Below are 24,968 nucleotides of genomic sequence, written 5' to 3' on the forward strand. Positions count from 1 at the left end.
TTCTGTATCAGTTTTATTAATTCAATCCCTGAAATTTGCTTACAGAATAAATGTTGTATGAAAAATCTTTCAAATAATTAAAATTTCTCAAATACACATTTATATTGTTCCTTTTCTTTAGTGACTTAATGTTATTTTCTGAGAAAGTCTTCAATCTAATAATCTTTGTCATCTCCTCCATGCCAGCACAGCTGCCTCCTCCCTGGGGTTTCTGACACTCTCAGGATGTGGGTTTTCACTCTGTGTCTCTCGCACAGTAATACACGGCCATGTCCTCAGATCTCAGGCTGCTCAGCTCCGTGTAGGCTGTGCTCATGGACGTGTCCCTGGTTATGGTGACTCTGCCCTGGAACTTCTGTGCATATGTTGTGTTACCATTGCCAGCATTGATCCATCCCATCCACTCAAGTCCTTGTCCAGGGGCCTGTCACACCCAGTGCATAAAGTTGTTGGTGAAGGTGTATCCAGAAGCCTTGAAGGAGACCTTCACTGAGGACAGAGGCTTCTTCACCTCAGCCCCAGACTGCACCAACTGGTCCTGAGAGTGCGCACCTGTGGGGAGGATACAGTAGTGGATGAGATCTTTCAGAAATGGACACAATCCCCTTCTCATCACTGGGACTTGGGAGTCCCTTACCTGTAGCTGCTGCCACCAAGATGTTCCTCCAGGTCCAGTCCACGGTGAGGCACTGAGCTCTAAGGAGATTCTGCAGAAGAGGCATGTGGTTGTTGGATGATGCGCTTAGGGCACAGACACATCCATATTTACCTCAGTGCATCTCAGGTTATTTGCATATTCATGAGACAGACGATTTCATAGCTCAAAGCCTGATACATGATAAGAAAGGGAAGATAAATGACACATCAGCCTTACAAGAGTGAGATGCAAATGGTCTAAGCCCTAATCTTACTTGAGAAAATGCGTGCCCTGCTCTATTTACCAACATTTGTGTACAGAGGTCCTTTCACTGAAGAGTAAGCCCTCTCAGAACAGGCTCCTCACTGTGAACCTACATGTGATTAGTATAGAGGCCGCCTGGATTATTTTTGGGACCATCACTGTCTATGACACTGAGCACGTGCCTTGGCCCTATCCTGGACCTGTCAGGCACCAGCACAGCTCACTGGTGACTCTGGAAAGGTGACTGCTGATGTCCCTCTGAGATCTACTGGGCCCTCCTGAGACAGTGTCTCCAGCACGTGCCTCATGTCCTGATCCCCCAGGATCTTCAATAGAAACGCTCTTGTTTTACGTATTTGCCCTGTGATGCATAATTACAGCTGATTTTCTCATCTCAGGAACAATGGGAATCAGAAGAGGTAACAGGAGTTTGAAGTTCTTTATGAACTCTCTACTCTCAAAATAATTGTCAATGAATTTGTGTTTTGAATAATTTTGGGTTACTTTTCAACTCCATTTATTAGATTTTTGTAAAGTATTTACATACTTCCAGTTCATATCCATAGATCTGTATCTTTACATATTGATTTTTGACTCACTTGGTCTGTGCACCTGCCACACCCTCAGATCCATCACTGCCCTGTCATTCACACAATGTAGGCAACATTACTTAACACTGAAATCTGAATTTCTTATTCATAGGAATATAGTTTCTTCAACTAATCGGTACCCATTGAATTAGTAAAAACATGCCCATCCTTCATATTCTCACTATTAAGATATTACAGTCCTAGAAACTCACTTTAAAAAATAGCTCTCATTATCTTAAGTTATATGAATGGTTTGGATGTACTAGAATATTTAAAGCACGTCAGCTACTTCTTGAACAGTTATTTTAGATTGTTTTTTTCCTGACAAAGGAAGACCAAGGCCCTGAGAGAAAACCTCCTCCCCGGCCTCCTGTGCACCTGCTCTGGGGCTGGAACTTGTGCTTGGTGGCTCCCAAGTGCCCCCTCCAGCCGAGCCCTTGCCTTGCCATGAGGTTTCTGTTGTAGCTCACAGGCATTTTACCCCACAGTCTCTAGCTCAGCATGAAGTGGGTGTGTCCTGGTTTAGAATACTCCTTCAGTAACACAATGTACTGAATACTCCTTCAGTGACACAATGTACTGCTGACACCATGTCTTTTAAGAATTGAAGAGCCTTATTAAACCTATTTAACTCTACAGGGAGACCCAAAGCAAATATTCTATGACACAGAGTGGAACACCTTCTCTGAAACTTCACATTTCCTGAGTCAGTGGACACGAAATGAATACAAAAACTTGTAGGATTTTGGGAGTGCCTTGTTTCGTCCTTGAGCTCTTGCAGTTGAATGTTACATCTAAGAATACCTGCAGGTTCAAATACACTCAGAATAAAACCAACTTTGTATCTACTATTCCAATAACACATATTTTTCTTTCTTCTTAGTTTCTAGCCTATAAAAATTGCCTCCTACACTGACACTAGGCCTAGGCTTATTTTTTTTTATTATTATACCTTAAGTTCTAGGGTACGTGTGCACAACGTGCAGGTTTGTTACATATGTATACATGTGCCATGTTGGTGTGCTGCACCAATTAACTCGTCATTTACATTAGGTATATCTTCTAATGTTATCCCTCCCCACTACCCCCACCCCACGACAGGTCCCGGTGTGTGATGTTCCCCTTCCTGTGTCCAAGTGTTCTCATTGTTCAATTCCCATCTATGAGTGAGAACATGCGGTGTTTGGTTTTTGTCCCTGCGATAGTTTGCTGATAATGATGGTTTTCAGCTTCATCCATGTCCCTACAAAGGACATGAACTCATCTTTTTGTATGGCTGCATAGTATTCCATGGTGTATATGTGCCACATTTTCTTAATCCAGTCTATCATTGATGGACATTTGGGTTGGTTCCAAGTCTTTGCTATTGTGAATAGTGCCACAATAAACATACGTGTGCATGTGTCTTTATAGCAGCATGATTTATAACACTTTGGGTATATACCCAGTAATGGGATGGCTGGGTCAAATGGTATTTCTAGTTCTAGATCCTTGAGGAATCGCCATAGTCTTCCACAATGGTTGACCTAGTTTACAGCCCCACCAACAGTGTAAAAGTGTTCCTATTTCTCCACATCCCCTCCAGCACCTGTTGTTTCCTGACTTTTAAATGATCGCCATTCTAACTGGTGTGAGACGGTATCTCATTGTGGTTTTGATTTGCATTTCTCTGATGGCCAGTGATGACGAGCATTTTTTCATGTCTGTTGGCTGCATAAATGTCTTCTTTTGAGAAGTGTCTGTTCATATCCTTCACCCACTTTTTTGTCTTAGAGATCTAAGGCAAATAGAATACAAGTGGAGACTTGGGAAGTGCATGAATATTTTTTTTTTTTTTGAGATGGAATCTTGCTCTGTCGCCCAGGCTGGAATGCAGTGGCACGATCTCGGCTCACTGCAAGCTCTGCCTCCCGGGTTCACGCCATTCTCCTGCCTCAGCCTCCCAAGTAGCTGGGACTATAGGCGCCCGCCACCCTGCCTGGCTAATTTTTTGTATTTTTTAGTAGAGATGGGGTTTCACCGTGTTAGCCAGGAAGGTGTCGATCTCCTGACCTCGTGATCCACCTGCCTTGGCCTCCCAAAGTGCTGGGATTACAGGCGTAAGCCGCAGTGCCCGGCCAAGTGCATGCATTTTTTTTCTCAGCTAGGAACCCTGCAAATGCCCTATGATAAAAGAATCTGAGGTCAATGGATTTGCCAATATCTTTTCTTCAAAAAATATATGTCAGAGGCTTCAGATTTCCCTACTGTCCTTGTCATATTCTCTGCCATTGTGTTTCAGTTTTCCTATGTTCTCCTCAGATAGAGTCTGCGCATTGTCACACTTTCATCTTTAACCCAGATTAACTATCCTGCTGAGAAAACAAAACGTGCATCCTGGAAGTATTATATGTTCTTACAATTGAATCTTAATAATTCAGTCATCTTTTTTTCTCTGGGCTGTGGCCTATACACAGAGTCTCCAGAAATGGAACTGACACTTTCCTTTTTCTGGCTACAACATTATAGGATTATTTCTCTATTGGCTAATTTTATCCACTTTCGTGATAAAGGAAGGCTGCTTGAAGGGGTCTGTAATGGAGATGGACTACCTTAGCCAACATAGATAATGTTCTAGATATGTATTTCTCCTGTATGTTCTATCTGGATATATTTATCTGTGTATTTCTCAGAGAGTAGGAACTTTGATGACTTATCCAGGAAAGGATCTATGTCAATTTTCACCCAAAGAACCTGGAGGTTCCAGGAGGAAATATAAATGAGTTTGGGGTCTATGAGATCTCTCACCCTCACACTAGTTCAGACATGCCCTTTCTGTTTATTTAGTTCAGATTTACATATAACAAACCACACAGCCAGGCTCATCTAAATTGCCACATGCTTGTTTAAACACATTGGAGCAGCATTAATCCTCACATTAATCTCAGAGAATCTTGGTTCCAGTCCACTGTTTACGTTAGTTGAGAGCAGCATCAGGGACACACTGGAGTGGATATTTCTTCCCGAAAAAAGCCTCACTCCCAAGTATACTAAAGAGTTGCCATGGAGCCATTGTGTGGTTGGATTTCTTCTTATCAGCCTGTCATGGAGGATATTTTGAATGATGTAGACTTTACACTTAGATGGTAATGACTCCCATTGTTGTTGAAATGGCTGGCAGCCCACAATCCTGTTTCTCCTCTCAACTCACCTGAATGTCTCCAAGAATCCCATGAACCTCAGGACTCTCCTTGTTAGATGACTCTGAGGATTGTTAGTCTGCTCAGTGCTACACACAGAGGTAGCTAATAGAGGATTCTCAGTCCACTGACATGTTGGGCTCATAACATAGGACACATATCCAAGAGTGGCCAATTCATGGCAATGCCAATAGATATTTAATTGAAGAGGCATTATTTTTAGTGCATCGGAGTGTGAAAGCTTCATGATTCATGGCAATAAAGCCACAGACTGAATGCTTTGCAGAAGTGAGCTCATTGTTAGAAGAGGCCTGCCCACCAAGAAGTCAGTCTCTTTAACTAAAGCACTTGAAAAATGGTGTCCTGAGACCTTGTGAAAATTCATTTCCTGGAGTAAAGAAAGGGGAAAGCTATTCTTAAATCATTGGAAGAAACCATATCAGAAATTTTATCAACACAGCAGTCAAATTCCAGTAAGTCAATGCTTGGGTTTATGTTTCACAACTCAGGAAGCAATAAAGAAATCTACATAATCGGAAGGCTACTCCAACAGAGGGAATTTTGACCTATTTAATTAATAGGCCAGTATTCACTCAAAGACACACTCCTGTGAGATCTCCAACTTAAACAGATCTCTGTAACCTGAAGAAGTTTTCTCAACAGATTCTTTTTCTCTAGACACTCGCAAATGCAAAAATACATTTTGTATATTTGTGCATGAGTGATCTAGAGAAGTCCTTGTCTTGTTAATGAAAGTTCATGGAAATATGATAACTGCATCACTTACTGTGAACTCACACTTCACTAGTCTCAAAAATTTCTCACCCATGTGATGGAGCAATGGGTGCCTCTAAGAATATGCTGATTTTTGGACTCAACATGTTCTCTTTGCTTGACTTATAGACCCATGTCTGACATCTGAGACACACCCTGGGGAGCTGTCTCCAGATAACAATAATGTAATCTTCTTCATGAACACAACTCTGCATTCCCCACATACCTCAGCCACACCTTAGGGGAGAGGTGTTAACTTCACCGTCCAAAAGCATTTTATACCCTGGAGCCTGAAAAATAATTTGGATGTGATACCACCTTGTACTTGTAATATAGAGGGCAGAGGTCAGCATCCCCCTGGATTTGAATGTGTTTTATTGTTGTATTTATTTTCTTGCAGACATGAATTACTTGCTTGACAAAAACTACAGCCATGCCAGTTCATAAAATTTTCCTTATTCTGATTTTCCCATCTGTGGCATTTGAATTTCAATATTAAGTGAGCGATGTGCATACCTCACAGGAGCAATTACAAAATAACTCTTTTTAGCTCCTTAGTGTTACTCAAATGCTGCACTGTCCTTACTGCCAAAAATCTTCTGGAAAGTTTTAAGTAAAACTGAATCATATGTTGCATCCTTAAGTTAAAAGTTGCATAACATTCAGAAACACATGAACTTTTTTGCTGAAGGTACATCTGCTAAAACTTACAACACAGGGTTTGCTTTCTCAAGGACACAAACATTATCACCGTATGACTTGATTCATCAAAAGCCCACCTATTTTCAATTACATCTTCAATATTAGACTCCGATTCATTAAATGCAGATGTAGCAAAGCATTCTAGGGGATTGACGTGCTATGCAGAAGCATTCAACAGGATGTTAAAGATGCCTTCCCACCAAATCTTCCTAATTATCTTTTTATTGTCATCAACTTGGAAATTCTTTATTTTAGAAGAGACATCAGAAAAAAGCAGCTTCAAACATTGTCAAAAGGCCTTATTATTTAACGTTATCAACAAATGCAGCAGTAACTCCAGGATGTCAATTCACAGGTTTATGAAGTGAAAATGGATGGGTTACAAAAGTTGTTTTGAGAGAACGATCCTGTAGTTGTAGAATCAATACCAAGGGTGGCATCAGTGTAAGGTTGAACTGGCAGTTTCTGGGATGATGTCCTTGCAAAAGTAATTTTTTTATAAGATGGTGGTGTCTTCTTCCCAAGATTGTGGTTAAGCAGAGTATATTTATGATAGTTCTTGTTATCAGGAATATGGGCTTAAGAACCCTCCTTCATGGTCACTCCTAGTTTCATTTGTCAGAGTTTTAATACAAGTGGCTCCATTTTGATTTTGACAACTTTCCCACTCTCTTTCTAACACTACTGGGGGGAAGGTGACCCTGTGTTAGCTTGAACAGCACAGGATAAATTCCATATCCACATCCCATTTTGACCACACAAGCTCATCCTCTTCACAACTATTGGCCACTTGCATTCCCAAGTGAGTCTCTACACAACACAGTGGAGGGTTCTGAGCAACGGGAGAGAAGGAAGTCCCATCAGCCTCTCCCACGTGGCTGCAGGAGCCACAGTCTGAGCCCCACCTGAGCTGCAGGGAAAGGGCTTGAGCAGTGGACTTTTTACAGCAAGAACCACATCTCCACTTTACAGGGATCAGGAACAGCAAAAGGAAAATCAACAACTAAAACAACTAACAAGAAATAGAATGTGCTAGGAGCAAAAGCAGCCCCTGATCAGCGCTGATACTGATTTGCATACTTTAGTGTCAGAAGAAGGGTCAGAAATAAAACCTGTGAGGTTCTACGTGACCCTGACCCTGGCCCAGCCTCTCTCTTGGCTGAGGTTAGAATTCCTAAATACTGTTTTCTTCAGGGAACCCCACTGAGGTCCCTGTCCTGAGTGTGACTGGAGAAGACTCACCGGGTTCCACTCAGCTTCCACAGGGCTGTGGCCCTGGTGACCACTGGCAGAGGGATTGTTCTGCATTTAGTGCCTGTAAGAAGGTTTCCTCCTGGTACAACAAAACTGTGGTATTTCAGAGACGTAGAGCTAGGCACAGCATCATGAAATAAGGGAGGGTCCCTGGAGGAAACATGTAGATGTAGAGGCAGCCCCACACCCTGGCAGTAAACCAGCCTCTCATCTCCACCCACACCTGCTCTGGGGCTGGCCCTGTGCTTCCTGCAACCTGCTCTTCCCCTGGTGGTCTTGAGTCCCCCTTGTGGTCCTGAGTCTTGCTGGCGGTCCTCAGTGCCCTGACAGCAAGTTTTGTGTCAGGGCTCACAAGGACACCTCCTCACTGAGTCTTTCACAGTAATACTCAGCCGTGTCCTAGCCAGCCATGGAGCTGAGCTTCAGAAAGAACTGGCTCTTGGTTGAGTCATTGTTGATGGAGATGCAGACCTGGGTAAAGGGTGCATGATGTGTATTCCTTGGTGATCTTGATGATGAGCTTGGTGATAATGATGTGTATTCCTGGTAACTGTGCCCCAGCCATTCTAATCTGTTGCCTAGGGGATGGTGGATTCAGCTCAAATAATATTGACTGGTAAAAAAAAGAACCCAGACACAGCACAGGTGGAGGGCAGTGTCTGAGGGCCTCATGGGTCCTGGACCTGACTCCTGCAGCTGCACCTGGGACAGGACACCTGGAATAAGAGGGAACATCCTGGTGAGACACACCGAGCTCACTTGTCCCCATCACCCCATTTCTTATTTCTAGATTCTGACACTGAAAAACTGTCATCCATCAAAGACATGTAAAAAGTTGATCTAATTGAGAGACAGATTAACGCCTTTCATGGGGAAATTGTGCTCAGGCTGATGACAGAGCAGTATGTAGGGAGGAGAGAGGCTGACAACACCCAGCATTGTTCTCCTAAACAGAGTTTGAGGAGAAGTGTGCATGTGCCAGGAGCCCCACATATATAAGGGGTAGGAACCACGGCTACCCTCTGTCTCAGAGCCTCTTCTCAGGGGTGATTTTCCTGCTCAGGCATCAGATCAATCGCACAGACTCTTCCTCCTCTGAAAGAGCATCCCTCTGCTGAGTGTTCAAGGCATCCATTGTCACCCCAAGGGCAGGAGGGCAGGTGACAGAAACAAGCAGGTTTGCTGGACAGAGAGGGAAGAATAGGAGTAGGAACGGGGGAAACACATGGTGCCCAGGACCTGTGGCCTACAGTCCTCCTGCTTCTTTCGGGTTCCCAGCTGGAGATAGTACACTGTGAACTTTCCTGGCAGTCGTGCTTCTGGAGGGAGGATTAGGGGAAATGCTGAGTAAGTTCTCCTCTTTGCTGAGCACAGAGTTTTCACTCTCTGTGGTATGTGGTTTTATCCCTCCCCGGTTGAGTCACCCCTGCTCATCCCTCCCTGTTGCTCCCCAGGTTTTGCTTCTTTGCTTATAGGAGAACTGACAACAGCGAGGCAAGGGATTGGGTTAGGAGGCCAAGGGCAAGTGTGGCTCCTCAGTGAAAAATGTCAAATGTAAAGTTGAGTTCCCTTCCTCTTTCCTATAAGAAAGGCTAGGGTTTGGAAATACGAGGGTCTGGAGGAGGTGACAATTGGTTCCCTTTCCCCCAAAAGAAGCCAGCCAACCAGAAATTGCTTCTTAAGAGCCTGATTTGAGACTGAGACTAAGAAGTCCAGTGGCTAAGAAGTGGTCTTTGCCCCCAGAGAGTTTGAGGTCTAATAAATTGTTATATTGTGTGGCAGAGACTGTGTGTGTTATGGAAGGACGATGGGAAAAGATGGGTATGATGAGCTGCAGCTGGCAGAAAACTCTTGGAATATGCTGGTTTTACAAGGACAAATAGGATATGTGTGTGTGTCTGTGGAAATGGAGCAGGAAGTGTGTAGCATCTGACCATGGAGTCACACTGACCTGGGCTCAAACTCCAGCTTCTCAGTTACATTCATTCATCCATCCATCTATTCATTCATTCAGCTTATAGTGATGGAAGGTCAGGAACTGTTGTAGGTTTGGGGAACACAACAGACAACACCCCTATTCTATGGAACTTTCATTGCAGTAAGGCTGCAGAGTGACCTTGGGCAACTCAACCGCCCATCCCTTAGCTTTCAAGCTGCAGTACTGCCCCCCACCTTACAGGCTGTGGATTCCAAAGAGCCGTAATGATGATGATAAAATAAGTACTATTTATTCAGCACTAACAACCTACCAATACTCTGCTAAGCATTTTGCAAGGATAATTTCCTCTACTCTTCACAACTTCCCCAGGGGACAGGGTTTTACAGGTGTGGAAACTGAGGCTTACAGAATTGAAATAATGATCCAGAATCAAGTGACAGAGACAGGATTCAAACCCAGCAATCATAACCACTGCAGTCAAGGTGGCCCACCTGAAGTGTGTTGGGAGTGGCTGGAACTGACACCTGAGGGGCTCTGTGACCCAGCAGAATTCTGTGCTTTTCCTGGGGAGAGCTTCTTCTAGGAAGAGGTGGCCACGACAGCCGATAGAAGGCTGTGACCTGAGTGCAAGCCTCATGCCAGCCACCTTCTGTATGTGAGACCGTGCTGCTTGCCAAAAGCTGTTAGTTCCTTCCATTCTGGCTGGCTGGGAGAGATTTCTCATGGTTGCGCGTGGGGAGAGTTGACATGTTTATGTGGAGGTAATGACTGTGTTGGCTCCTTAAGGAAGAATTAGGATGAGAGCCCAGTTCCCTGTTTGGGGACTTGAACTTAGATTCTCTGGTGGCCTGGAAAAGGTGGATACCTTGCAGGTTAATGTAGGAAGTTACCATCCCATGACAATTTTATTTTACTCTTCTTTCCTTTGCCCATTAGCTACTGCAAACTTAAAATTACCTATAGTGGAGAGTGGTAGTAGTCTACTTCAAAAACAGCAAATTCCCAGGGATTTGCCCTCACTTTTGGAATCTTAGCTAAATATTTTTTTCTCTATGGGATCACCCTCTTTTGCATCTGACTGAGGCAAGCCTTAAAGATCAAGCCGATGTCAGAGCAGAGGAACTGCTGTTTGGTAAGGATGCCTCAGAGATGAAAAGGGGAGGAGGGTGGTCTCAGAGAACCAGAAGAGGATTGGGAAAGTTGGCCCTGGAAGAGGACTTCTCACTCCTTCCCCAAGCCTTGCCCTGTCTCTTGACCTCCCTTGACTCCCTGCTCTTCCAGGTCAGCTTTGTCCATGCGCTGGACTGAATATTGCCAGCAGGTAGTCATAAGGACCCATGCAATCCCCCAAATCAATACTGAATACAAAGAAAGCTGTTGTTTCTGCTTCTCTGGCAGGAGAATAGGAAGTGACCACTGGCTTGAGAAGGGCTATGCTACCAAAGTAAACCATCACGGGACTGGTTCTGAAATGATCCAATTCCCTGTCTCTTTAGGATGAATCTCTTTAATCCAAGTACATTAAATTGGAATGTAGTGATCATTCAGATTCAACTAATGTTTATTTTATGAAGTGGCTACTATGAACCAAGCACTGGGATAAAGCTTTAGTACAGTTAGGCCATTTTATTCACTTGAAGAGCAAAGGGCTCAAAGTTTACCTTTCCATGATCTATGAGAAAAAAGGTTTACCAAGCAAATGAGTGCTATATGCAAGATTGTCAAGGTGAGGTTTTAAACCACTTACAAGGACAAACTGCTTCCCAGAAGCCTGCCAATGCTTCTTAAGTACTCCCTTGTGTGGGCAAACACAGATCCAGGAGACAAACGGGAAGGACCTAGGACAAAAAGTCAGCAGGCTAGATTCCACTTCTAGTTCTGCACTGAAGTAGTCACATGCCTGCTATTGCATGGTGTCATCTAGTCCCCATTTCTTGTCCACAAAACTAGCATGAGCCCCCCACAAAAGCCTTGCTGAGCAAGGGGTTCAGTGTGCCCCTTTTGCATAAAAAAGGGAGAAAATAAGAATAAACATGCACACACATTTGTATTTGCTTCCATGTTCACAATGACATCCATAAGCTTATTCAAGAAATTAATAATCATGGTTACCTATGGGGAGTGGAGAGGTAGGAGTGAGACCTGGGCAGATGGAGACATAGATGGGAGGAAGATTCCTCCCCAAGGATATATTGGGTTTTGTTGAACCGTAGGAATACATTACCCATTTAAAAATTTAATTCGTGGGAAGGGCCTCCTAAAATCCAGACATAATACTATGTAGAACTTCCAAACAAAAAGAAAGTCACGTTGGTATTACCTGTTCTATTATACTGATGTTGGCTCTTCCTAATCATTCGTTTTTTTTCTAAGTGCTCCCACTATCCTTAAATTGTTCATTTCTAGATTCTTGCCTGGGGTGGATGATATTCCTCAGTGCCAGGTCACTGGGCAGAGATTTTTCACTGTATTGGATCTCTTCTGCTTTCTCTACTTTCTTATTTGTGAAAATATGTGTGCATACAGACATACACACATGTGCACACACACATGCACGTGCACACACACACACACACGAGCTGACTCCCTTAAACCAGGTAGCTGACCTCCATGGGTCCACACTCTGGGTCCAAACTCAACTGAAGGAAAGTGAACTGAAGGAGGCATTTGTGAATTTGATTCTCCAACCTAAGGACTTTGCTTTTCAAACCAAGGGTGTTCAGAAGGGCACAGACTGCAGAACATGAAGACTTCTGTTACCATTAACATAGTTCCCTGGCTCCATGAGGCATGAACAGCCTCTCTGAGAATGCACCAACAACTCAGCACGCCTTGTAAACAGGCCACAATTATAGAGCTTGGTTTTGACTTTTTTTCCAGGGCCTTAAAGTTGATATATTTTTACATTTCCCTGGATTGGAGGGTAGGGGGCATGGCTTTGGGTTTAGCATTTGCTCTGCTGATTATCTCTTGGCTCTGTGAAAAACCTTGGCAGTGCTGTGGGGAATTGGTGCGGTGGGGAATGGAGGCTTGAAGAGTCAGTTGACCTGCAGACCAAGATAGAGCTGAAGGTGGAAACTTGGATGAAACCTTTAGGCTGTCCCTTCCAGTCCTCAGCGAGAACCTAGGGATCACCATGTGCAATGCTATGTGGATGTGGCGTGTCACACCACAGGCACCAGAGGGAGTTTCTGAGGTTGCAGAGGTGACTGGGCAATATCTTCCAAGCTCCCTGGTGTATTCTGGTTTGGCCAAGCAATGTGTTGCTGCAAGAGCTGAAGGAAAAGTCAACACATGGGAAGGAAAAGCAATCCATTGGGTGACTACATTAATGGATGGGGAGAGACTTCTAGGACACAGACTTTGGCAAAATATGGTCATCATAAAGAAAATGGCTGAGTATATCTCTAGGCTTTCGAGTATTGTCATTTGCACTGTGTTATTTTTCCCTCCAAGGGGTTATTTGGGGAAAATTGTATACATCCCAGGGTTGAACTTCCAAACAAATGCAAGCTGCAACCAGCCCCAGAGCTACATATGGGCATGTCCCTGGGTGGCTTTAGAAAAGCGTAGTTCTCTCTGTGCTCAGCTCAACCTGCCCCCTCTGCCCTGAGACGCACACACACACACACACACACACACACACACACACACACACACACACACACACACCACTCCCCCCGCCCCCCCACCCCCACAGTTCCTTCCCTTGCAGAAGAGATGAGAAAACCTCTCTTTCTTTCTACTGTAGAGCAATTCCTTTGGAGGACAAAGACTGTTGCAATGAGCTTTTTGTCTCGGCAGAGTTTGCTAATACATTTAAAAATATTTATTGTGAATGGGTTGGAGGAGGTTGCTGTGGGAAGCCCTGTGTGTTATGTATACCTTTGCATGCTTCAGCAATGCCTGCCCAGTGCTTTGGGGACTCAGCAGATGTCCACAGATGATGATAGTGACTTTGAGGAACCCCCATATTTCTTGAATTTTTCATAATGAGTGTAGAAAGAGGTCCCAGCACTGGAAAGGAAGGTGGGGAGCTGTTCCCCTCATTGCTTACAGTGGTCTACCTCTTGTAAACACAAACCTCTACCTTGAGGAGCACCTTTCTGAGGTCAAGTGTGCTTCTGAGAGGGCAGGTGCCAGCCATGCATCACAATCTAGGGAGGTGGGAAGTGTGAAGTTGCATGGAGGCAGGGAACCTGGGCTCTAGACACGACTCTGCCTCTAACATTCTGTGGAAACCTCAGGCTTCTGTCACTTTGAGCCTTGGTTTTCCATGGGTAAAGTGAGACCATGGAGACCCACCTCACATAATTGTTGAGAGGATTGTTTAAAATACATGTTTTGGCCAGGTGTGGTGGCTCACACCTGTAATCCCAGCGCTCTGGGAGGCTGAAGCAGGAGGATCACTTGAGACCAGGAGTTCGAGATCAACGTGGGCAACATAAAGAGACCTCATCTCTATAAATTTTTTTTAAAAAATTAGCCAGGAATGGTGGTACAAGCCTCTAGTCCCAGCTACTTGGGAGGCTCTGGTGGAAGGATTAACTGGGTCCAAAAGTTCAAGGCTGCAGTGAGCTATGATTGTGCCACTGTACTCCAGCCTGGGCAATAGAGTGAGACCCCATCTCTAAAATAAATAAATTTAAAAAATTAATACATGTGGAACATTTCAAAAACATGAAATAATAGGGAAAACAATGTAGTGAAACTTCATTTTCTCTCATCCAACTTCAGTAATTGCCAGCTCCCAGTTTTGTGTCATCTCTATTCCCACTCCCAGCCCCTTCCCATTACCCCTCAATGCCAGAATATGAGGACTTCATGGCATGGAACAGTGGCATGGAAGTGCCCTCCAGAGTATCTAACACATAGCAGATGCTTAGAAAATGTTTGTGGAATCTGAACTATTTAATAGTACATGCTTTATAATTATTACCTACTGTAGCATGGCGAGAGGGTACAGTATTTCTCACTGCCTTATGGATGAGATGACCTAGTCTCAGGTCAAGTGACTTGCCTAAGATCATGCAGCCACATAGGAATATGGTGCTATCCTAGAACCATGGTTTCCAAATCCCACACGTGTACTCTTGGCAGTATGCTCTGCTGCCTCTGTGTTGATTTTTCCTTTTGAATATCTTCTTAGAGAGGAATAGGAGACTTGTAAAGTTTTATGTGGGCTCACAGTTTAAAGAGAACCTGTTTATGGGGTTGTAATAACCATGTATTCACGGACACAACTGCTTATGTCTGCAAAAGATCAGCAATTCATCAGACACTTTGTGAGTTATTTTCTTCTCTGATTGTCAGAGTGAAAGGTGAGTAAGATCACTTCTCTCAGGGAGCTCACAGTCATATGCACTGAGTCACATGACATAGAGTGGAGCGTGATGAGCGTAATGGCAACAGCATGAACCAAGTACTGAGGGTGCATGGAGGAAGGTTGTTTAACTCCTAGCTTCTGTCTTCATTAAGAATTATCAATACTTCCAGCCATTTATGACAAACCCACAGCCAATATCATCCTGAATGGGCAAAAGCTGGAAGCATTCCCCTTGAAAACCAACACAAGGCAAGGATGCCCTCTCTCACCACTCCTATTCAACATAGTATTGGAAGTTCTGGCTAGGACAATCAGGTAAGAGAAAGAAATAAAGATATTCAAATAGGAAGAGAGGAAATTGAATTGTCTTTGCAGATGACATGCTCCTGTATCTAGAAAACCCCATCATCTCAGCCCCAAAGCTTCTTAAGCTGATAAGCAACTTCAGCAAAGTCTCAGGATACACAATCAATGTGCAAAAGTCACAAACATTCCTATACACCAACAACAGACAAGCAGAAAGCCAAATCATGAATGAACTCCCATTCACGATTGCTACAAAGAGAATAAAATACCTAGGAATACAGCTAACAAAGGGAAGTGAAGGACCTCTTCAAGGAGAACCACAAACCATTGCTCAAGGAAATAAGAGAGGACACAAACAAATGGAAAAACATTCCATTCTCATGGATAGGAAGAATCAGTATTGTGAAAATGGCCCACAGTAAGTTGTAGACTCAATGCTATTCTCATTAAGCTACCATTGAAATTCTTCACAGAATTAGAAGAAACTATTTTAAAATTCATATGGTACTAAAAAAAGAGCTTGTATAACCAAGACAATCCTAAGCAAAAAGAGCAAAGCTGGAGGCATCACGCTACCCAACTTCAAACTGTACTACAAGGCTACAGTAACCAAAACACCATGGTGCTGGTACAAAAAAAGGCACACAGACCAATGGAACAGGATAGAGAACTCAGAAATAAGACCATACATCTACGACCATCTGATCTTCGAGAAATCTGACAAAAGCAAGCAATGGGGAAAGGATTCCCTATTTAATAAATGGTGCTGGGAGATCTGGCTAGCCGTATGCAGAAAATTGAAACTGGACCCCTTTCTTACACCTTATACCAAAAGTAATTCAAGATGGATCAAATAGTTAAATGTCAAAGCCAAAACTATAAAACCGTAGAAGAAAATCTAGGCAATACCATTCAGGACATAGGCACAGGCAAAGATTTCATGACAAAATTGCTAAAAGCAATTTCAACAAAAGTGAAAATTGACAAACAAGATCTAATTAAACCAAAGAGCTTCTGCACATGATAAGAAACTATTGCAGAGTGAGCAGGCAACCTACAGAGTGGGAGAAAATTTTTGCAATTTATCCATCTGATAAAGGTTTAATATCCAGAATCTGCAAGGAGCTTAAACAAGTTTATAAGAAAAAAAAATACTAAAAAGTAGGGAAAGGACAGGAATGGACACTTCTCAAAAGAAGACATTCGTGCAGCCAACAAACATATGAATAAAAGCTCAACATCACTGATCATTAGAGAAATGCAAATCAAAAACCACAATGAGACACTATCTTACACCAGTCAGAATAGCTACTATTAAAAAGTCAAAAAACAACAGATGCTGGTGAGGTTGCAGAGAAACAGGAATGCTTTACACTGTTGGTGGGAATGTCAATTAGTTAAACTATTGTGGAAGATAGTGTGGAAATTCCTTAAAGATCTAGAACCAGAAATACCATTTGACCCAGCAATCACATTACTGAGTATATACCCAAAAGAATATAAATCATTCTATTACAAAGATACATTCACATGTATGTTCATTGTAGCACTATTCACAATAGCAAAGACATGGAATCAACCCAAATGTCCATCAATGATAGACTGGATAAAGAAAATGTGATACATATATACCATGGAATACTATGCAGCCATAGAAAGGAATGGGATCATGTTCTTTGCAGGGACATGGATGGAGCTGGAATTCATTGTCCTCAGCAAACTAATCCAGGGATGGAAAACCCAAACACCGTGTGTTCTCACTTATAAGTGGGAGCTGAACAAATGAGAACACATGGACACAGGGAGGGGAGCAACACACACTGGGGCCTGTCAGGAGATGGAAGGGGGTAGGGAGAGCATTAGGCAAAATATCTAATGGATGCTGGGCTTAATACCTAGGTGATGGGTTGATAGGTGCAGCAAAATACCATGGCACACGTTTACCTATGTAACAAACCTGCACGTCCTCCACACGTACCCTGGAACTTGAAATAAAAATAAACATTTTTTAAAAAGAGCTATCAATACTTCCAAAAGTTGTGACCCTGGAACCATGGCAATTTGTACTCACGCTTATACAATCCTAGAAGCTGACTACTAGGTTTAATCTTTTCATGAACTAGGAGTCTTCATTAGGTCAATGTACCAGATTAACAATGACCACACCAGGAGAGGTGCCATCTATTTATCTATTAATCAATATTAACACTGAAATTTTAGGCCAACTGTAAAGAGCTAACCAACTGTGAAGTGTGGGAACTTGATCTACACTTCTGACAGCAATTGCAAATTCAAGGGTCCCGATAATTTGTTAGAAGGACTCATAGAACTCACTGAAGTCTGTTGTACTTAAGGTTATGGTTTATTACAGGGAAGGGATGCAGGTCCCTTCTTCAACCAAGGGAAGAAATGCATAGGGTGGGGTCCCAGAAAGCAGCAAACGCAGAGCTTCCGGGTGTCCTCCTTCCATCAAGTCAGGACAGTGTTTCTTTCTCAGCATCGGCATGTGACAGTAAGTTCAGAGTATTGCCAGCCAGGGACACTCATGCAAGCCTTGTGTCCAGAGTTTTTACTGAGGCTTGATCACATACCACCTGCATGGTTGACCTTCAGTCACCAGCCCTTCTGGAGGTAGACCTGATACAATGTGGCTCAAAACCCCCTTCATAGATCTCGTTAGATTGTCCAGTGGCCAAAGCCCCAAGGCAAACAAAGACACTCCCATCAGGCAGGGCATTCTATGGAGATCACTTCCCAGAAGCTGAGGGTGGGGGCCAGCTGCTGCAAAGGCGCTCTTTGGTTGAGCGGGGTGGGGGGTGGGGGGTGGCGGGACCAGGGTGGGACCAGGGACCGGAATGTGGGGCAGGATGCAGAGTGGAGAGGCTCGCTCAGGTGAAGGCACTACTGTGTCACCATTGGCTCCTGGGTCCTGGCTCCAGGTGGGGAGAAGCAGTTTCTCTTTCTGGGGCAACAAATAAAATCCCTCCGGGCACAGGAGTGCTCATTGCTGGTTGGTTATGCCAGTCTGTCTCTATTTTTAGAAAGAACCACAAGAAGGAGGAAAAGAATCTAGAGAAATAAGTACAGTTGGTTCCTCCCTGAGGCAGAAGCTGGGTTCTGTGGGATGAAGCACAGATGCAAAGCCATTGTCCTGCCACCCAGCAGTGCAGTCGGAGATGGATGGCATGAATCTAGAATACCATGGGAATGGGTCCTTGCCCTGGGCCAGTAAACATTTGAGACTCAGAGCCAGGAGATAGGATGAGAAGATTGCAGTGATGAGACCCACAAAGGGCAGCAGCCATCTCTTAAGGGATCAACTTGGAGACCAAATCCATCACTTCTTGGAGGTCCAGTAGCCCCTGCACCCTCTGCGCTTTGCAGAGACATCCTGCAGTTCAGGGAAGAAACGGAGCTGAAGGGCATGTGGAAGAAGAATGTCACAGAGATGCAAGGGGTTGGATTATTGGTTGGCTTAAGGTCAAATCATTATTTGCTGCCTGAAGAAAAAAAAAGACCTTGCTTAGGGACAGAAGTACTTGTTCTGGTCTTAGGTCAGATGAGGGGGTAAAGCAACTCTTCCAACTGTCATGGAATTGGGTATTTTGCCACCAAAAATTTCATGATCCAATAATGATGATCATAATCAGTGAATGCTGGATTAAACTGAAAATAGTACAGGACTTCTCTGAGCCTTTACTATGAATTTGCCCATTAAATTCCCTAAAAGAGAAGGAGAAGCTATGCGTATTGAATATCTGTTAGTACCTGGAAAATCCAGTTTTCTGTTTTTCAGTATGGGGGAGAACAGAACCCCGCTTGAGGGTTGAAACAAATTCCTCTGAACACAGTATGGGGAATTCAGAAGAGATTAAAAGAACATATGATTGGAATTATTCAGATCTGGATGAGAAGCCTGGGCCAGCTGTTTGACTAGTGTACTAGTGTAACCCTGGTCAAGCAACCAAACTTCTTGGGTCTTAATTTTCTTATGTATAAGATGAGACTAATAATTCATATCTCAAAGTTATTGAGAGGAATAAATGAAATCAGGTAAGTAAAGAATCCTTAAAAGAGCCTGTAACATAGTAAGCATATAAGAAATGGATGGATGCATGGATGGATGGATGCCTGGATGGATGGTTAGATGGATGGTTAGATAGATGGAAGGATGGGTAGATAGATGGAAGGATGGGTAGATAGATGGATAGAATGATGGACGCCTGGATGGATAGGTAGATGGGTGGGTGGATGGATGGAAGGATGGGTAGATAGACGGATGGAATGATTAATCTTGGCCCACTACCTTAGCTAGATAGGGTCATTGTTCTAGCACATACCCAGACCATCAAGCATGAGTTTGTGTGTATGCACATGCTTGTGTGTGCACATATGTGCATAAATATATATGCAAGCACTCATGCATGAATTTTCCTGAACCTTTTCCAAAGACAGAAAAGTTAGAAGCTCTTCCACCATGCTTCCATAATATCCTGGCAGTGGCTATATCACAACTACTCCACTGCACTGTAACTGTTTCATAGCCCATCTATCTCTGCTAGAACACTAAGCATCCTGGACCACAAAGGTCATAGCCCAGTCCCTGCAACACCATGAATGCTTATAAAATCATTGTAAAATGATTCTTCTCAATTGTCTAGGCAGGTAGGGCCACTGCACCAGTGACATCTGAGAGGCCTGACCCGACCAGCCTATCAGTGTATCTTAACCCCTCTTGAGGGTCAAAACAAATTCCTCTGAACTCAGCACTCACTAGTGAGTTGGAGGAGGCTGATGACAGGGCTGGTGTCTAGAGTAGGATGAGATGAGCTCTGGGAGCCATAACAGTGCAGAGGTTCCTGCCATCAGCATTTCAGGGTATGGGCTGAGCATTTCAGCATTTCAGGGACTGGGCACAGCAGCTCACACCTGTCATCCCGGCACTTAAGGAGGCCAGGGCAGGCGGATCACCTGAGGCCAGGAGTACAAGATCAGCGTGGCCAACAGGGTGAAACCCTGTCTCTACTAAAACTATAAAAATTAGCCAGGCGTAGTGGCGGGCGCCCGTAATCCCAGCTACTTGGGAGGCTGAGGCAGGAGAATGGCTTGAACCCAGGAGGTGGAGGTTGCAGTGAGCCGAGATCACACCACTGCACTCCAGCCTGGGTGACAAGAGCGAGACTCTACCTCTAAATAAATAAAAAAATGTGCCACGGAAGCCTGCTCCGTACTCACCTCACCAAATGTCAGAGTCAGGGACACAGGGCATGCCCCACAGGGTGGGATGACAGGAAGTCCACCTGGGCCCTGACCCTCCTGACCGCCCCTCATCTGGGGGTACACTAACCCTTTCGGACTGCAGGGTGCCCTGAACATTAGGACTGTGGGGTACCCCAATCCTTTAGGACTGTGAGGTGCCCTGAACATCAGGGATGTGGGGTACCCCAACCATTTAGGACTATAGGCTGCCCTGAAATGACGGCCAGGGGGTACCCTGACCTTTTAGGGCTGTGGGACACACTGACTTCTTAAGACTACGGCTGGTGCCTACAGGAGTCCAAGGGATACCAGGCCTATGTGGGGAGGGGGCAGAGGTAGAAAAGCAATGGGGGAGGTGCGGGGCATCGGCTGTCCCTGCCCTGGAGAGGATGGGGCCAGCCAGGTAGGTGTGCAGCCAGGACCACTCAAGGACTCAAGGGAGAGATGCGGTCGGGGAGAGAGGAGTGGGGGACGGGGAGAGAGGAGGGGGGGATGGGGAGAGAGGAGGGGGGGACGGGGGGTGGGGAGAGAGGAAGGGGTGCCGGGGAGAGAGGAAGGGGTGCCGGGGAGAGAGGAAGGGGTGTCTGGGAGAGAGGAAGGGGTGTTGGGGAAAGAGGGGAAAGGGGACAGAGGGGGCGGGGACAGGAGCCGGAACCGGGGTCACACGTGGAAGGCCAGGACCCTGGGTCAGGAGTGGGAGCCAAGACCCGGGGTCACATGTGGGGCTGGCCACCTGACTGGAGTGTGGTCTTCAGTCATGCTGTCACCAGGCTGTGGGACCTCAGGGATGCAGTGAGGGAGCCAGGCCTCGGGGGCCCAGCCTGGATTCTGCCGACTCCCATCCCTCAGCCTCACCAAGAGGCCACTGACTTCGTCACTGCACAGAGATCCCATCCTGGGGTTCTGGGGCCTGTGCAGGAGAAACACAGGTGCAGGGCCACGTGCCCACACCGCTGGCATCTGTGCTCCACAACCAAACTCCTAGAGCCATCATCATCTCTGGGCTGCAGTGCCCGCCGGTGACAACTCCCTGACCACCTCGCTGTGGTCACACTCCTGTCCCCGTGGGTAGAAAATCCAGTGATGCGTGTAGACAAAGAGCCCTCTGCACACCTGGAACCCCAGCGCCTTGGGAGGCCCAGGTGGGGGGATCACCTGAGCTCAGGAGTTTGAGACCAGCCTGGGCAACATGGCAAAACCTCATCTCTAGGAAAAATTTAACCATCAGACGGACACGGTGGTGCACACCTGTAATCCCAGCTACTAGGAAGGCTGAGGCAGGAGAATCGCTTGAACCCGGGAGGCAGAGGTTGCAGTGAGCCGAGACCGCACCACTGCACTCCAGCCTGGGTGACAGAGCAAGACCCTGTTTCAAAAAAAAAAAAAAAAAAACCATTTAGCCATTTGCATGATGAGGACCATAGAGAATAAAAAATAAAATGAAAAGAATCTCAACAACTCACTCTCCAATTCCTTTAGGAAAATGAAATGAGAAACATACACATGTAAAGTATTTAGTATTCCCTGCAGTTTAAGAAACAGAATCCAGGGCCAGGCGAGGTGGCTCACGCCTGTCATCCCGGCACTTTGGGAGGCTGAGGCGGGTGGATCACCTGAGGTCAGGAGTTCGAGACCAGCCTGGCCAACATGCTGAAACCCCATCTCTACTAAAAGTACAAAAAGTAGTAGCCGGGTGTAGTGGCACATACCTGTAGTCCCAGCTACTCGGGAGGCTGATGCAGGAGAATCACTTGAACCCAGGAGGTGGAGCTTGCAGTGAGTCGAGATCGCGACACTGCACTCCAGCCTGGGTGGCAGAGCAAGACTCTGTCTCCAAAAAAGAAAAAAGAAAAAAAGAATCCTTGTCAGTCTACGGACAAGAATGCCAGTACCACACCATCATGATGAGGGTCACTTCTGTGGGACACACAAGACACAGCTCACACCTGCCCCTACACACAGCTATTTCTGACCCCAAACAGCGAGGCAGTCACTTCAGACCCAAAAGGAAGGTGAAGCCTGCGGCCCTGCACCATCCGCGTGCCACTGCACTGACTTAAAGTTTCTCACGGGCTGGGTGTGGTGGCTCACGCCTGTAATCCCAGCACTTGGTGACGCCGAGGCAGGTGGATCACCTGAGCTCGGGAGTTCGAGACCAGCCTGGCCAACATGGTGAAACTCTGTCTCTACTAAAAATACAAAAATTAGCCAGGCATGATGGCAGGCACCTGTAATCCCAGCTACTCCAGAGACTGAGGCAGGAGAATGGCTTGAACCCGACAGGTGGAGGTTGTAGTTAGCCGAGATCATACCACTGCACTCCAGCCTGGGTGACACGGCGAGGATCCATCTCAAAAAATAAATAAATAAATAAAGCTTCTCGTGAATGATGAAACCAAAATTACCATCGCGTCTGCACTGTATGGATCTGTCTGCTACAACCAGCAGGACCACAGCCAGGCTGCAACTCACTTTCTTTACAAAAAGCACCAGGGATGACCAGGAATTAGTCCCCACCAGGTGACACTCACAGCCTTACCCACACGTAGGAGCCCCACGGACATATGGATCAAATACAATACGAGAGACACACATCTCACCCCATTCTGTGCAGCCAACACAGTGCACATTCAGCATACGGTTTGGTTTGCTTTTTGTTTTTTTCTGAGACCGGGTCTCACTCTGCCTCCCAGGCTGGAGCGTGGTGGTGCAATCTCAGCTCACTGCAGCCTCCACCTTCTGGGCTCGAGTGATCTTCTCACCTCAGCTTCCTGTGTAGCCAGGACCACAGGTCCCACGCCCAGCTAATTTTTTTTTTAAGAGATAGGGTCTCACTATGTTGCCCAGGCTGGTCTTGAACTCCTGGGCTCAAGCAGCCCTCCCCATTTGGCCTCCCAAAGTGCTTGGCACAGGGTAGATTTTAAGTTAAAAATCTCACAAAACAGGCCGGGTGCAGTCTTATGCCTGGAATCCAGCACTTTGCAAGCCCGATTGGGGTGTTTTTTTTAGTAGAGATGGGTTTTCGCCACTGGAATCCAGCACTTTGGGAGGCCAAGTGGGGAGGGCTGCTTGAGTCCAGGAGTTTGAGACCAGCCTGCAGAGCATAGGCTCAGAGACTCTGTCTCCATGAAAAAAAGGCACACACACACACACACACATGCACACACACGCACAGGTGTGGTGGTGGACGCCTGTAGTCCCAGCTATTTAGGAGGCAGAGGTGGGAGGATTGCTTGAGCCCAGGTGGTAGAGGCTAAAGTGAGCTGTGATCACACCACTGCACTATCTAGCCTGGGCAACACAGCAGAAACGTGCCTCGAAAAATTAAACGTTTACAGGCCAGGCACGGTGGCTCACACCTGTAATCCCAGCACTTTGGGAGGCCAAGGTGGGTGAATCACCTGCAGTCAGAAGTTTGAGACCAGCATGACCAACATGGAGAAACCCCATCTCTACTAAAGATACAAAAAAATTAGCCGGGCATGGTGGTACATGCCCGTAATCCCAGCTACTCAGGAGGCTGAGGCAGGAGAATCGCTTCAACTCGGGAGGCAGAGGTTGCAGTGAGCTGAGATTGCGCCACTGCATTCCAGCCTGGGTGACAGAGCAAGACTCCGTCTAAAAAAAAAAAAAAAAAGTTTAGAAAACAATATACATAATATGAATTTTTTTTTCCTAAGACAGAATTTCGCTTGTTGCCCAGGCTGGAGTGCAGTGGTGCAATCTTGGCTCACCGCAATCTCCGCCGCCCAGATTCAAGCGTTTCTCCTGCCTCAGCCTCCCGAGTAGCTGGGATTACAGGCATGCACCACCATGCCTGGCTAATTTCTGTATTTTAGTAGAGACGGGGTTTTACCACATTGGCCAGGTTGGTCTCGAACTCCTGACCTCAGGTGATCCCCCTGCCTGGGCCTCTCAAAGTGCTGGGATGACAGGCGTGAGCCATTGTGCCTGGCCATGAATCCAGTTTTGATACAATTTTGAGAAACACAAATGTCTATATACAGACATACACAGGTATATCTATTATCCATGCATGCGTGCCTACACACACTCACAAATGTGTGTGTGCATGTGTGTATACTTATACATTTTGGTGATATTTGGTGATATTCTTCTAGCCCCATATAGGACTGCAGGAACATAACCAAATCTTTTTTTTTTTTTTTTTTTGAGATGGAGTCTTGCCCTGTCACCCAGGCTGGAGTGCAGTGGCACAATCTTGGCTCACTGCAACCTCCACATCCCAGGTTCACGCCATTCTCCTGCCTCAGCTTCCTGAGTAGCTGGGACTACAGGTGCCTGCCACCACGCCCGGCTAAATTTTTGTATTTTTAGTAGAGACAGAGTTTCACTGCGTTAGCCAGGATGGTCTCCATCTCCTGACCTCGTGATCCGCTCGCCTCGGCCTCCCAAAGTGCTGGGATTACAGGCTTGAGCCACTGCACCCGGACAACCAAATCTTAACAATGCTTATCTCAGGGCCGGGTGCAGTGGCTCACACCTGTCATCTCAGCACTTTGGGAGACCGAGGCAGGCGTATCACCTAGGTCAGGAGTTCGAGACCAGCCTGGCCAACATGGGGAAACCTCGTCTCTACTAAAAATATGAAATATTAGCTGGGCGTGGTGGTTGGTGCCTGTAATCCCAGCTACTCGGGAGGCTGAGGCAGGAGAATCGCTTGAACCCAGGAGGCAGAGGTTGCAGTGAGCCAAGGTTGTGCCATTGCACTCTGGCC

At 45.7% G+C, this 24,968-nt stretch overlaps 1 long non-coding RNA gene across 2 annotated transcripts; it reads right to left on the reverse strand.

The window, feature by feature from the left end:
* On the reverse strand, positions 1-11,176 carry LOC105379208 (uncharacterized). 2 transcript variants are annotated; one of them, XR_948846.2, is made up of 4 exons: positions 7,389-7,896; positions 4,682-5,058; positions 638-828; positions 1-552 (listed from the first exon to the last, which is right to left on the reverse strand). It is a non-coding gene; the product is annotated as an uncharacterized LOC105379208 (long non-coding RNA). The 2 variants fall into 2 exon arrangements; XR_001751427.1 differs by lacking the exons at positions 4,682-5,058; positions 7,389-7,896 and adding an exon at positions 11,087-11,176.
* Between the last annotated feature and the right edge of the window lie 13,792 nt (positions 11,177-24,968).

Source organism: Homo sapiens, chromosome 15 (assembly GCF_000001405.40).
Source record: "Homo sapiens chromosome 15, GRCh38.p14 Primary Assembly".
NCBI classification, from domain to species: domain Eukaryota; kingdom Metazoa; phylum Chordata; class Mammalia; order Primates; family Hominidae; genus Homo; species Homo sapiens.